Source organism: Homo sapiens, chromosome 16 (genome assembly GCF_000001405.40).
Source record: "Homo sapiens chromosome 16, GRCh38.p14 Primary Assembly".
Taxonomy (NCBI): domain Eukaryota; kingdom Metazoa; phylum Chordata; class Mammalia; order Primates; family Hominidae; genus Homo; species Homo sapiens.
The window spans coordinates 58,084,597-58,099,902 of NC_000016.10; the positions used below are offsets into that span (position 1 = coordinate 58,084,597).

General features: G+C 52.3%; 1 pseudogene, besides 3 other annotated features; it reads right to left on the bottom strand.

Annotated features, from left to right (window-relative positions):
• Positions 1,188 to 1,878: an enhancer, noted in NCBI's record as "H3K4me1 hESC enhancer chr16:58119688-58120378 (GRCh37/hg19 assembly coordinates)". NCBI's record gives its function as "activates a minimal SCP1, AML or CMV promoter by ChIP-STARR-seq in primed H9 embryonic stem cells {active_cell/tissue: H9 hESC(primed)}" and the evidence as "EXISTENCE:reporter gene assay evidence [ECO:0000049][PMID:30033119]".
• Positions 6,520 to 8,394, bottom strand: TIPINP2 (TIPIN pseudogene 2; annotated as a pseudogene).
• Positions 13,410 to 13,910: an enhancer, noted in NCBI's record as "H3K4me1 hESC enhancer chr16:58131910-58132410 (GRCh37/hg19 assembly coordinates)". NCBI's record gives its function as "activates a minimal SCP1, AML or CMV promoter by ChIP-STARR-seq in naive H9 embryonic stem cells {active_cell/tissue: H9 hESC(naive)}" and the evidence as "EXISTENCE:reporter gene assay evidence [ECO:0000049][PMID:30033119]".
• Positions 13,911 to 14,411: an enhancer, noted in NCBI's record as "H3K4me1 hESC enhancer chr16:58132411-58132911 (GRCh37/hg19 assembly coordinates)". NCBI's record gives its function as "activates a minimal SCP1, AML or CMV promoter by ChIP-STARR-seq in naive H9 embryonic stem cells {active_cell/tissue: H9 hESC(naive)}" and the evidence as "EXISTENCE:reporter gene assay evidence [ECO:0000049][PMID:30033119]".

A 15,306-nucleotide genomic window follows, 5' to 3' on the forward strand; every position in this document is an offset into this window, starting at 1 on the left:
TCAGCACTCCTGGCTCACTGGCTTCCCCCCACCCACCAAGTTATCCTTAAGAACTCTGCTTCCCTAATGCTCGGGGAGACTGATTTGAGTAATAATAAAACCCTGATCTCCCGCACAGCTGGCTCTGCGTGAATTACTCTTTCTCTATTGCAGTCAGCTCTGTCTAGGCAGCAGGCAAGGTGGACCCCTTGGGCAGTTACAGTATTGGCTGACTCTGTGGCTGGTGGAGGCCCCCTTCCACCCTAGTACCTTCCCAGCAAGCCTGGGGCCTCATCTTGTGGCTGCGTCCCATCCTCCCAGCCCTTGGTTGTGCTGGCCAGCCTGGCTGGGTGTCCAGCAGGCTCTGGGAAGGCGGTGGGCCTCTGGGCAGATGTTCTGGTTTGGGATCTTTCCCCCGCCCCAGCCACCTTCCACTCCCCTCCCTGCCTTAGGCATCATCCCTAAAAAAGTCACCTCTAGACTGGCACACAGCTCCCCAGAACCCCTCCTCCTGGAAGCCTCCCCAGACTGGCTCAGCCCTGGGACCGCTCAGCTCCGTTTCCCACCCCAGTGACAGCTTTAGGGTTTACACCATAGAAGACTATGTGGATGCAGGAGCCTCAATATTAGAAGTTTCAAAATAGTTTAAAAGGCTTTTTTCTGGGTCACCCATTTTTACAACCATACACTGCAAAGGTAGATAGCCCTGCTGTGGCCACACGAGGTGGTAAGGCCGGCCCACCTGGGGCGTGCTGGCCTGTGAGGCCGGTGTCGGGCAGGGGCAGCAACCGCCCAGCATCCTCTGACACAATCTGTGTGGTGCTAGCCGGTTGTCATATGGGCTTGCACCGAGTCTCGCACTGTTGCCAGGCTGGAGTGCAATGGAGCAATCTCGGCTCACTGCAACCTCCACCTCCCAGGTTCAAGCGATTTTTCTGCCTCAGCCTCCTGAGTAGCTGGAATTACAGGCACCTGCCACCACATCTGGCTGAATTTTTTTTTTTTTTTTTTTTTTTTTGTTGTATTTTTAGTAGAGATGGGTTTCGCTCTGTTGGCCAGGCTGGTCTCGAACTCCTGACCTCGTGATCCTCCCGCCTCAGCCTCCCAAAGTGCTGAGATTACAGGCGTTAGCCATCGCACCTGGCCCTTGGGCACCACTGTTCTTGCCACTTCCTGCTGGCCCAGCATCCCCCCGACCCCTAGTGGTGCTGGGTTGGCCTCCAGCCAGACCAACCAGGGGGCTGGTTTCAGGTACCTAGGTTTACACGATAGAAGATGGTGTATGCAGGAGCCTCAACATTAGAAGTTTCAAAATAGTCTAAAAGGAGTTTTTCTGGGTCACCCATTTTTACAACCATACACCATAAATGTAGGTGGACCTGCTGTGGCCGTGTGAGGCAGTGAGGCTGGCCCACCTGGGGCGTGCTGGCCCGTGAGGCCGGTGTCAGGCGCAGGCACTAATGTCCCGGTGGTCCTCTGACACCTTCCGTGTGGCGCTGGTTGGAAGTTATGGGCTTGCTGTTGAGAGGCTGCGTGCCCCTGGGCAAATATACATTATTAACCGTGGTGTTTATACTGGGAGGAGCGGGCAGAGATGAGCGCTGGGGAAGGCCTGAGTCCCTCTGAGCAGCCTGTGGGATCCATGAATCCGAACAGGGATCCATGCCCAGGGGCAGGGAGGGATCTCCGGAAACCTCAGCTTCTCCTTGCAGCTGAGCCCCTCATTTAAGGAGGGCAGGGAAATGGCGGTGGGGCTTGGGGACGGCGGAGGAGAGAGAGGAAGAGGGGTGTGTCTGTGCTGATAGCCCCTCCACGAGCCAATCTGCCTGGGAGAAGGAAGAGAGAAAAACAGCCCATTCCTGGACCACCAGGCAGGGGGCTGGAGCCCCAGCTCTGGCCGGATGTGCTTTGCAACCTTAAGCACTAGGCCTGGGGCCTCAGGCTCACCAAATGAATGACAAGGGGTTGGACCAGGTGACTTCATAGGATTCTTTGGCCTGGGACAACCTGCTGAACATCCCTGAGGCAAGGAAGGGCCTCAGGTCCTACAGGCAGAGGAGGAGCAGCTAGTTGCCCAGGGGACAGAAACTGAGTCCCAGAGCCTGGAGGGAGGATGAGGGGGCCAGGCCTCGGTGTGACGTGGGGCAACAGCACAGGGTTGGGAGAGATGCCCTGAAGTGAGGCAGACCTGGGTTCTGGTCTCAAGTCAGCTACTTGCCAGCTGCAAGCCACTTTACACCCCTGAGCCTCGGGCTCCCCACGTGGGATGCGGGGACAATAGCAGCACCTGCCTCGAAGGTTGCTATGAGAGCAATTGGTAGCTAAGAGAACCGAGACATGTTCCTGCCCCTTTCCACGTTGGCTTCTCTGTGACACATCAGCCCTAGGGAAGCAGGGCCAGTGCCACCCCACATGCAGGTGGCAACACTGAGGCTCCAGGGGGTCGATTCAGGCCGGTTTCTTTCCCCGTTTATACACCCTGCTTCTCTCCAGCATCCACGACTACAGGTGATGGCCACGCTACTCCCATGTCCTCACATGCACCTGGGTTACGTCAGCGGCAGCCATGCGTGCACATGCACACTCACACACGCACACTCACACTCAAACACACATGCACACTCACACTCAAACACATGTACACTCACACGCACACTCACAAACATGTACACTCACACTCAAATGCACTCACACTCGAACACACATTCACAAACACACACGGACACTCATACTCAAACATGCACACTCACACTCGAACACACATTCACACTCAAACACACTCCCACTTACACATGGATACTCACACTCGAACACACATTCACACTCAAACACCCACATGCACACTCACACTCGAACACAAACGAACACACACGTACACTCACACTCTAACACATTCACTCAAATGCACAATCACACTTGAACACACACTCGCACACACGCACTCATACACACATGCACACTCAAACACATGCACACTCACACCACGTGCACATGCATACTCACCCTAACACACATTCACACTCAAACACGTACACATGCATACCCTAACACACATTCACACTCAAACACACACGTACCCTCGCATTTGAACACACACAGGTACACATACACACACTAACATTCACACACGCATAATCACACTTGAACACACAAGTGCACACTCGAACACACATGCACACACACTCGAACACATGCACCCTCACTCGAACACACGTACACACAAACGTTCACACATGCACGCTCATACTGTCACACCCATGCACACACTCGCAACTGCACACACAAACTACACTGCACGTGCACAAACATGCTCACATATGCACACATTCTCACACACATCCACGCACACATGCACACACATGCACTCACACACCACACACACATTCACTCACACACATTTACTCACTCTCACGCATGCACACACACTCATACACACACTCTCAAACACACTCACACATTCACACACATTCACACACACACACTCATACACTTGCACACATACACCCTCACCCACCCCTGCCCCGCCTGCAAGGCACCTGGGGTTGGGCAGTGCTAAGGATGGGAGCTGGGAGCAGAGCATGGTTTTTCCAGCTGCTGGGCTCCTTCTGCCAGAAAGTGAGGGAAGAAGAAATGGAGGCGGCGGCGGGAGGGGGAAGGGTGGGAGTGGGGTGGAGTAGGGGAGGTGGCACTGGCTGGCTGTTCTGTGGAAGGATCACTTTTTCCCTGGAAACATTCCGCGGGCTCCAGCCCTCCACCCCTCTCCTCCAGCTGCCTTTTCCTGCCTTTCCTGGAACAAAGGCTGGGGGTGGGGAGGAGGAGGCCCCAGGGCCCACCTGGACATGGACACGCAGCGACATCGCCAGCCAGGCTTGGGCTACAGAGCCCCCACCCTGCCCTGTCATTGAACCCAGGCCACTAACCACAACTCTGCCTTATGGAGGGAAACTGAGGTGCAGAGCAGAAAACCCACCTTCCCCATGGGATTCCATCAACCCCGAGAAACACCATGCAGCCTGTGCCCTTTGAGAGGCCATGGTGGCCAGTCCCTTGCCTCGGGTAAGGCCAGGGCTCCTAGGAGGAGGCCCCTTCCCTATGGGACTGTTCTGCTGCTTATTTTATTTTATTTTTGTAGAGACAGGATCTCATTATGTTGCCCAAGCTGGTCTTAAACTCATGGGCTCAAGCAATCCTCCTGCCTCAACCTCCCAAAGTGCTAGGATGAGTGTGAGTACAGGCGTGAGCCACGGCACCCAGCCCATGCTCTGCTGTTTAATCGAGAACTTCCTGCTGTGTCCAACCAGGTCTCCTGGCTGTAGCTCATCCCCACTTTTTTTTTTGAGACGGAGTCTCACCCTGTTGCCCAGGCTGGAGTACATTGGCACGATCTCGGCTCACTGCAAGCTCCGCCTCCCGGGTTCATGCCATTCTCCTGCCTCAGCTTCCTGAGTAGCTGGGATTACAGGCGCCCACCACCACGCCCAGCTAATTTTTTGTATTTTTAGTAGAGACGAGGTTTCACCGTGTTACCCAGGATGGTCTCGATCTCCTGACTTCGTGATCCAACCGCCTCAGCCTCCTAAAGTGCTGGGATTACAGGTGTGAGCCACCGTGCCAGCCATTAATATTTAATATACATGTACATCTTAAAACTTCACCCAGGCTACTCTGGGCACACTGTCCATGGGTTAACCCTGCTCTGCAAGCAGCAGTAAAAACCAAAACACTGGGCACAGTGCCTCATGCCTGTAATCCTAGCACTTTGGGAGACCGAGGCGGGTGGCTCACCTGAGGTCAGGAGTTCGAGACTAGCCTAGCCAACATGGTGAAACCCCGTGTCTACTAAAAATACAAAAATTAGCTGGGCGTGTGCATTGCCAAGACAATCCTAAGCCAAAAGACCAAAGCTGGAGGCATCACGCTACCTGACTTCAAACTATACTACAAGGCTACAGTAACCAAAACAGCATGGTACTGGTACCAAAACAGAGATACAGACCAATGGAACAGAACAGAGGCCTCAGAAATAATACCACACATCTACAACCATCTGATCTTTGACAAACCTGACAAAAACAAGCAATGGGGAAAGGATTCCCTATTTAATAAATGGTGCTGGGAAAACTGGCAAGCCATAAGTAGAAAGCTGAAACTGGATCCTGTCCTTACACCTTATACAAAAATTAATTCAAGATGGATTAAAGACTTAAATGTTAGACCTAAAACCATAAAAACCCTAGAAGAAAACCTAGGCAATACCATTCAGGCCATAGGCATGGGCAAGGACTTCAGGACTAAAACACCAAAAGCAATGGCAACAAAAGCCAAAATTGACAGATGGGATCTAATGAAACTAAAGAGCTTCTGCACAGCAAAAGAAACTACCATCAGAGTGAACAGGCAACCTACAGAATGGGAGAAAATTTTTGCAATCTACCCATCTGACAAAGGGCAAACATCCAGAATCTACAAATAACTTAAACAAATTTACAATAAAAAAGTCAAACAACCCCATCAAAAACTGGGCAAAGTATATGAACAGACACTTCTCAAAAGAAGACATTTATGCAGCCAATAGACACATGAAAAAATGCTCATCATCACTGGCCATCAGAGAAATGCAAATCAAAACCACAATGAGATACCATCTCACACCAGTTAGAATGACGATCACTAAAAACTCAGGAAACGACAACTGCTGGAGAGGATGTGGAGAAATAGGAACACTTTTACACTGTTGGTGGGACTGTAAACTAGTTCAACCATTGTGGAAGACAGTGTGGCGATTCCCCAAGGATCTAGAACCAAAAATACCATTTGACCCAGCCATCCCATTACTGGGTATATACCCAAAGGATTATAAATCATGCTGCTATAAAGACACATGCACATGTATGTTTAATGCAGCACTATTCACAATAGCAAAGACTTGGAACCAACCCAAATGTCCATCAATGGTAGACTGGATTAAGAAAATGTGGCGCATATACACCATGGAATACTATGCAGCTATAAAAAAGATGAGTTCATGTCCTTTGTAGGGACAGGGATGAACCTGGAAACCATCATTCTGAGCAAACTATCACAAGGACAGAAAACCAAACACCGCATGTTCTCACTCATAGGTGGGAATTGAACAATGAGAACACTTGGACACAAGATGGGGAACATCACACACCAGGGCCTGTTGTGGGGTTGGGTAGCGGGGAGGGATAGCATTAGGAGATATACCTAATGTAAATGACGAGTTAATGGGTGCAGCACACCAACATGGCACACGTATACATATGTAACAAATCTGCACGTTGTGCACATGTACCCTAGAACTTAAAGTATAATAATAAAAAAAATACAAAAAAAAAAAAGTAGCTGGGCGTGGTGGCTCGTGCCTATAATCCCAGCTACTTGAGAGGCTGAGGCAGGAGAATCGCTTCAACCCGGAGGCAGAGGTTGCAGTGAGCCGAGATTTCACCACTGCACTCCAGCCTGGGCAACAGAGTGAGACTCCATCTAAACAAACAAACAAACAAACAAAACCTCCAACTTAGTGAAAACAAGGCATTCAATGATAGATCATCAGCAGAAACTGCTTATTACCTAGTAATCATTTTATTTTTATTTTTTATTTTTTGGAGGGGGGACAGAGTCTCGCTCTGTCACCCAGTCTGAAGTGCAGTGGCGCGATCTCGGCTCGCTGCAAGCTCTGCCTCCTGGGTTCACACCATTCTCCTGCCTCAGCCTCTTGAGTAGCTGGGACTACAGGCACCCGCCACCACACCCACCACCGGGCCCGGCTAATTTTTTGTATTTTTAGTAGAGACGGGATTTCACCATGTTAGCCAGGATGGTCTCGATCTCCTAACCTAGTGATCTGCCCGCCTCGGCCTCCCAAAGTGCTGGGATTACAGGTGTGATCCACCACGCCTGGCCCTAATCATTTTATAAAGTCATATCTATATAAAAACAAACACTAAAGAGAATAAATAGATCTAACTTAAGTGACAAGAATAATTATAAACAAATACCAGATTTTAAACAAGAATCTGTAAAAGTTTTACTACCTAAGGATTTTCACTCAAAGAAGAAAAAATATGGCCAGGCACGGTGGTTCACGCCTGTAATCCCGGCACTTTGGGAGGCTGAGGCAGGTGGGTCACCTGAGGTCAGGAGTTTGAGACCAGCCTGGCCAACATAGTGAAACCCTATCTCTATTAAAAATATAAAAAATTAGCCAGGCGTGGTGGCAGACGCCTGTAATCCTAGCTACTCAGGAGACTGATACAGGAGAATCGCTTGAACCAGGGAGGTGGAGGCTGCAGTGAGCAGAGATGGTACCATTTCACTCCAGCCTGGGTAACAAGAGGGAAACTCCATCTCAAAAAAACAAAAAAACAAAAAACCCCCCCAAAAAAACATAGTAACACCAAGCTTGCAGGATGGTGAGCTAACAGATACATCTTATCTTAATGGAAACTCATGTAGCATTCAGTAACATTTCTGGATGAAGCTTTAAGTTACTGTTGCACATTTGTGAAAGACTGATCCAGCAGTGTGTCCTCTAATTTTAATTCCTCTGCTTCATTTAAAGTATTAGCAGGAGCATCATTGCATGGATTGTCTAGCATGTTTTCACTTAATCCAATTGATTCCTCCTTTTGATCCTCATCAGCATTAACCTCAACTCTCTATGCCCTGGGTGCATTCATTAATGTATCATTTCCTAGGGACTATTACTTAGCAGCTTTGCCTGCCTTCTTTCTAAAGCCAGTTGTTTATTTCTCTCAATTTTTTGTTGTTGCTCTTCTGTTAGGCTTCTACTTGACTCAGAAGCAAATATCTCACTTTCAGATGAGTTTGTCAGAAAGGGATCTAATTCAGTAGCGGTTACATCATGTCCATTATTTCCCACAACTTCATCATTCTTGCTAATAAAATCTTCAGGTAAAATAGGGAGATTTGTTTTAAACAAGCCTGAACTTCCTTTTCATTTCCCAGGTACTCAACTCTGTCAATAAAATCCTCAAACTGCAGTTTAGGGAAGAGCCTGTGTGCCCAGTGCTCCATGTGTCTGATTAGAGTCTTCAAATCTTCAGCCTCATGACCTTTACCTTTGAATTTTGCGTTATCAAATACATGCCTTAAGGCTGGAAGTCCTCTCTCTGAAATTAATATCTGAGCATCCAGCTTGGGTATACTTCTTTTAACTGTTCTCTTTGGAGGTACGGGACTCTGCTTCCTGACTCTTCATCAGGTTCAGCCCCTTCAACATCTTGTCTCTCTGGAGAGATTGGAGGCGGGAATGGAGGAAAAGTTTCATCTTCTACATGCTCATAATCAGGTAGGTCAATCATGCCATTCTCCTGTGGTTCTAGCATCTTCTCCTCTCACGCAGAAAGCAGGGGCCACAGTGTAGAGCTCCAGGGTTCTCACTTTCACCACACTTTCCCCTTTGGTTTTTGTTTGTTTGTTTGTTTGTTTGTTTGTTTGTTTGGAGACAGAGTCTTGCGTCTCGCTCTGTCGCCCAGGCTGGAGTGCAATGGTGCAATCTTGGCTCACTGCAACCTCCGCCTTCCAGGTTCAAGCGATTTTCCTGCCTCAGCCTCCCGAGTAGCTGGAACTACAGACTGCCGCCGCCACACCCAGCTTATTTTTGTATTTTTTAGTAGAGACAGGGTTTCACCACATCAGCCAAGCTGGTCTCAAACTCCTGACCTTGCAATCTGCCTGCCTTGGCCTCCCAAAGTGCTGGGATTACAGGCTTGAGCCACTACGCCTGGCCTCACTTTCCTTCACTTTCTCCATTGCTTCTTTTTTTTTTTTTTTTTTTTTTTTTGAGACAGAGTCTTGCTGCGTCTCCCAGGCTGGAGTTCAATGGCATAATCTCGGCTCACTGCAACCTCCGCCTCCCAGGTTCAGGCGATTCTCCTGCCTTAGCCTTCCGAGTAGCTGCGATTACAGGTGTGCGCCACCATGCCCGGCTAAGTTTTGTAGTTTTAGTAGAGACGAGGTTTCATTATGTTGGGCAGGCTGGTCTCAAACTCCTGACCTCGTGATCTGCCCACCTCAGCCTCCCAAAGTGCTGGGATTACAGACATGAGCCACTGCGCCCAACCTCTCCTTTTCTTTCTTGCTCTCTTCTCTCTCTCCTTTCCTCCAACTCCCCTTACTTTTCCTCCTCCTTTCCTCCCACCCTCATCCCGTTCTCTCCCCAGGCTCTCCAGCACTCGTAGCCTTATACCCATCCTGCGGGCATCTCCCCAAGTTGTTCCACCAGCTCCTCAGACTACCCCCCACCCACCCTGCTCCTCCCCAATTGCTCCCAGCCCCATTGGTGTCTCCTCCAGCCCCCTCCATTGCTCAAGTCAGAACCCAGGGTTCATCCTGAGCTGGTCAGTTGACTCAACCCTTGGACCCATTACTGGCCAGGCTCATCCACCTCCTCATCTTCCCCAGGTCCCCGCTGGCTGCTTTCTTCCTGCCCCTGCTCCTGGCTCCCATCTTCCCCAAAAATCACCTCCTAAGGGCCGACATGGGACCTTGGGTTAGGGCTTGGTGCTTTCTGGATAAAGCCCCTGCTCTGGAGCAAGACCTGTTGGCCCCTCCCCACCCAGCCAAGCATCCTCATCACTCCTGCATGTCTGTGGTAGGGCCTGGCCTCCCCAGGGCCTCTGCACATGCTGCCTGCTCTGCCTGGGAAGCCCTCTCCCTCCTCTCACCCCTGTCATAGGCACACACTCTGTCCCAGGCAACTCGGCGGACCATGAGCTTCCCCTCTCAATAGCCACTGGGTTGTCCCTCTGTGCTCCCCGTTTCCTGCCTGCTTCCCTCCAAGGGCAGGTCCCTGTCCAGCATAGAATGTCACACTGCAGTGTGAGGGACTTGGCCCAGGTTAGAAGTAAGAAATCCAAGTAAAGGCCAGGCTCTGTGACTCATGTCTGCAACCTTGGTGCTTTGGGAGGCTGAGGCAGGAAGATCACTTGAGGCCAGGAGTTCGGGTCCAGCCTGGGCAACATAGCAAGCCTCATCCCTACCAAAAAGAAAAAAGAAAAAAAAAATTAACTGTGTGCGCTGGTGCACACCTGTAGTCCCAGCTTCTCGGGAGGGTGAGGTAGAAGGATCGCTTGAGCCCGGGAGGTGGAGGTTGCAGTAAGCTATGATCATTGTACTCCAGCGTGGGCAACAGAGAGAGACCCTGTTTCTAAAAATAAATAAATAAATAAATAATAATTTAAAAATCCAGGTAAAGACTGGCCAGGAGGAATCCCTAACAGAGCCAAGAAGAGGCCACCGATGTGGAACCCCAGAAGAGCAGAGCTGGGGAGGTCTCTGACATTACAAGCCCAACCCCTTCACACCCCGGCTGGGGAGGCTTATCTCCTGTCCCAGGATCCTAGGCAGGCACCCCTAGACCCATGGGTGCTGGGCTGTTTGCTGTGGGGCACTCCCTGAGGCAGAAGCGCCACTGCTGGTTGGGCCACCCCGCAGGCAGTCCGAGGCTGGTAGCCTGTAGTCTCCACCGTTGTCTGGACCATCTTGCCCATACACTGAAAGAGAAGGATGATAATCTCCCTGCACTCGGTTGCTTCCCCTGCCAGAAGGAGCCGGTGCTGCAGAAGAGAAAGGGGGTCTTTATGCCCACAGGCAGAAGGGCACCACTCCCCTCCTGGTCCCCCCAGGATGACCTCTGGTGAAAGGACTCTTTGTAAGGCTCCCCGAGTCTGGCCAGGGCTGACACAGAGCCCTCCCCAAGTTGGGGGTGGTGGCAGACAGCTGGGGGGACTCTGTCCGGGTGAGGTCACAGGCCATGGCTGGGGAGGCCTCTGAGCCTTAGGACCTGAGGAAGAGGCCATCTGACGGCAGGAAATGAGAGAGGACACGCCCCCCGCAGCATGTAGTAGTGGGGTTAGACTTCCTGTGCCTGGGTCCAAACCGGCCCTGGTCTCTCAGCAGCTACTGCAGAGTGAGTTCCTTATAGAACTGGTCACACAGGAGGCGATGCCCACCCCACCTCCTTCTCACCTACGCTCCCCTCACCCACTATGTTTCGTTGTTTGTGTTTTTTTCTAAAGATGGTGTCTCACTATGTTGCCCAGGCTGGTCTTGAACTCCTGAGCTCAACCAATCCTCCCACCTCAGCCTCCCGAAGTGCTGGGATTACAGGCATGAGCCACCACGTTCATCCATGCTGTTTGTTTTTGTTTTTGTTTTTAAGAGACAGAGTCTTACTGGAGTGCAGTGGCACAATCACAGCTCACTGCAGCCTCGAATTCCCGGGCTCAAGTGATCCTCCCACCTCAGCCTCCTGAGTAGCAGGGACTACAGGCATGTGCCACTGCAATGGACTTTTTCTCTGTTTCTTGAATCAGCTGGCACATGCCCACCCCCAGGGACTTTGCAAATGCTGTTTTTTCTACTTAGAATGCTATTCTCTGAGATGTTGGAGTTGCTCATTACCTTCTCAAAGGGGCCTGCTCAACCCACTCCCCAACATATGCTCCCTCCTGGCTCTTTCCATTGCCCTATCACCTTCCAGCCTACCATATCATAGATCGTGCCTAGCCGCTCATCCCCCATCTAGAAGTTCAATGAGGGAACCTCCATTCACTTATTTCATGTCCCAGGGCCTGACATCCAGTGGGTTCCCAGTGAACATTTGTCTGAATTAACAAATAGATCATGTTGTTTAATTAATCCTTTCTCCCACCCCGAGATGGAGGCACAATGATTCATTTACAGACAAAGGCTCTGGGAACTGAAGGATGTTTCCCAAGTTACACAGTGAGGAAGAGCTAGAATTGGGATTCAGATATGGGGCTGTCTGCCCCCCCACCCCACATGGCTTTCACCAATGTGCTTCCTACCTCCCTGGTGACAGCCACCCACACATACCACGCCCCCCTGCCTGGCTAGGCTCCAAAGATAGAAGGGCTTGTCCCTTAAGGAATGTTCCCAAGGATGCCTATCAGAGGCAGCTCTGAAGTTCAGGACCACCCAATCCCTCCCTTGCAGGGTGAAAGGATCCCAACCCCAGGTCCTCAGGCAGAGCCCAGCCTGCAACCTTCCCTCCCTAGGAGAACAGGAGAGCAGCCGCATCCCTCCCCAACCTCACCCCTGCAAGCCTGACACTACCAAGCTTCGTACCAGCAGGCCAGGCTTCGACTCTCTGCAACCTCAGCACCTCATCTGTCAAAAAGGACAGTACCACCTGTCCAGCAGGTGCATCTGTGAGGAACAGGTGAGAGTGTACAGGAAGGGGCTCCCAGGACCTGAGCTGCAAAGCTGCAGGCATAAATGTCACCCCTGCCCCGCTGCCAAGGCTGGAAGCAGGCAGGAAGTGAGGAATGGGAATGCCAGAAAAGAGCTCACCCCTGCCCCACTCCCCCAAAGCTGGAGGAAAAGGCTGAGCCGGGGGCCGCCAAGGCCATGAGTCAGCCTCCCCTGAAAAGCCAGGCAGGGGGCCCATGTCCTCCTCCATGGGTGGGGAGGGTCTCCCTGGGGAAGAGCAAAGCCACCCAGGCCAGGAGCCATGTGGAATTCATCTCTCCCAAGCCTATGGAAGGGTCTAGAGTGATGCTGACAGCAGCCGACTGGACTGCACCGGCCCCTGGAAAAGGGGATTTCCTTACAAAGGCCAAGCTTGGTGCCCCCTTGGGGGCTACCTACCCCCTTCTCTCAGACTACTTGGCATGGCCCCCTCCATCCTGCCACCCCCATCCCCCGGCAGCCCTCACAGTGCCCAAAGGGCCCTTCTGAGCCAAGAACAGGGCTTCAGAGAACAGCAAGGCAGCCCCTTCCCGGTGCAGATGGGGAAATCGCCACAGGGGGCAGCACTGAGCGGCCAGGGGCTGCACGGCCAGCTAGTGGAAGGGCTGGAGATGGGGCCCAGCTGGGCCTGGCCCTTGGCTCTGCCCTGAAGACAACTCACTCAGGTGCATCCGCCCCCTGTGCTGCCGGGTTGGACCCTCTGGCACAAGCAGGCTCTGACCCCAGAGTGGGGACACCATTCATTGCCCCGTTTCACCCGATCTCTCACCAGCCCCCACCCACCCGTTGCTCCAGCCACAGGAACTTCTTGCAGTTCCCTCAAACTGGCCAGGCTGTCTCCAGCCTCTCCAGGTCCAGGCCTTTTTGTTTCTTTTTTCTTTCTTTTCTTTTCTTTTTTTTTTTTTTTTTTTTTTTTTTTTTTTTTTTTTTGAGACAGGGTCTTGCTCTGTCACCAAGGCTGGAGTGCAGTGGCGTGATCACTGCTTATGCAGCCTTGACCTCCCAGGCTCCAGTGATCTTCCCGCCTCAGCCTCCCAAATAGCTGGGACTACAGGCATGCCACCACATCCAGCTAATTATTTTATTTTTTGTAGAGATGGGGTTTCACCATGTTGCCCAGGCTGGTCTCGAACTCCTGAGCTAAAGTGATCCACCTGCCTTGGCCTCCCAAAGTGTTGGGATTAAAGGCACGAGCTACAGCACCCGGCCCCTCCAGGCCTTTGTCCATGGTGTTTCTTTTGCCTAGAAATGTGTTTCACCTCCTTTCCCTGGTCAGCTTGTACCCATCCCTCAGCTTTCAGTGCAGACAGTAGACATGGCTTCCTCCGAGAAGCGCTCCCTCTTTCCTCTCACCTGCCCCCATGAAGGTGGGGTTACAAGCCCCTCTCTGGACTCCCACTCAACAGGAAAGCTACTCTGCAGTGCCCATGGCTCAGCCCCAGATCCTAGCAGCACAGCCAGTACACAGCAGTGGCTCACTGTTTGCTCACTGAGGGGACCAGTGAACAACAAGGAATGGACACTCACGGTGGGGGGGCTCCAGGATGAGAGCAGGTGCAACTCCCTCCTCTCCCACTCCCTCCTCTGGCCACTCCAGGTGCTGGGGAGCTGGAAGGGAGACTGAGAGGGGCAGGAGCTGCCACTCTCGCCCTGTGTGTGGCCTCCCCTTGGACAGGCCTACTCCACCCTCTGCTCGTCAGACTCTTTCTCACTTCTGCTCCAGAGCCCCCGCGGCTCTCCTCTTCTTCATCTCTGTTTTCCTCTTCAAATTCCAGAGAGAGGAATCCAACAGCCGTGGCCTGGCACTGGCCAGCCCAGGAGATCATCATGCAATCGTCTTCAGCCAGCAGCCCAGGGCAGGTCCACACCCCAGGGTGATTCACTCAGAAATCCACTCATTCTTTCATCCCTGTGCCAGGCACTGTCCTGGGGGCAGGGGATCCAGCAGGGAAGAAACAGATGCGGCCCTGCCCTCCCGGGGCAGACAGTCCATGGAGACTCTTCTCTCCTCCCCACGTTTCTAGGAGCCTCAGTCTTCCCACCTGGTGAAGATTTCTTCATTTCTCCTCTCCTCGCCATAAAACCCTTCTATGCAGCTGAGACACAGTTGGGGGCCCAAGAAGGAGGCCAACCACAAGGACCACATGAGGACCCTAAGACAATGACAACTACAGTTACCATGACAACACTCACTGTGGACTGACTCCTGCCTCAAGGCTGTTCCATCTGCTATCAGTGAATCCCCGCCATGCCCTAGGAAGGTGCACGTGGCTGTTATTCCCATTTCTGTGAAACAGGAAAGCACAGTGAGGTTCATGTCACATCCTCAGGTCTCAGAGCTCAGGTTGGTAAGCACTGGAGCCAGGTTTATTCCAAGTCATCACGCCCTGAAGGGAAGGGCTGAGCCACTGAGCCACTTGGTTTTTCCCACTCAGAAGGGCACATCCATTGGTTCATTGCCCTGCAATGATCCTGCGCCATCAGAGGTGTAAGGCCTCCACTAAGCCTGCCTTCTGGATGGAAGAAGGTGTTGGGCAGGGCCTGCCTGGAAGAGGGGGACAATCACCACCCTTGCCTAGCCAGCCCCTTACGAGGAGAGACACTACCCTCCCCCAGCAGCCCAGCCTCAGTCTCAGGGACCTCTTTTCCTTCTCCACTGTTGCCAGTGGCACAGGGGCCAGTGCGGGGAGCTGTGCCCACTTTACCATCCCATGCTCAGGACACCAGATCTATTTCCGACATTTCACACCTCTGGCCTCTGGCCTCCCTGGCCCGTCTCTATCCTCTGCAGCCCCCATTGCAGCCAGGGTGGCCTCCTGCTCCCCAGCAACCCCTGTGGCCATGTGGGCTGCCCTCGTCAGGCTCACCCCACTGCTGGGCCCGACAAGGCCATCCATGTGTCCCAGTTGGAAGCTAGTGATCAACTCAAAATAACTACTCCCCTCCACTCTGACACAACTGTCTTCCCCAGAAGGACAACAGCTGCAAGGGATTAGAGCTGGGGATGGAAGGAGAGAACCCCCCACCCACAGCCCCAAGCCCACGGAGCTGGAGCAGGTGGCAGCG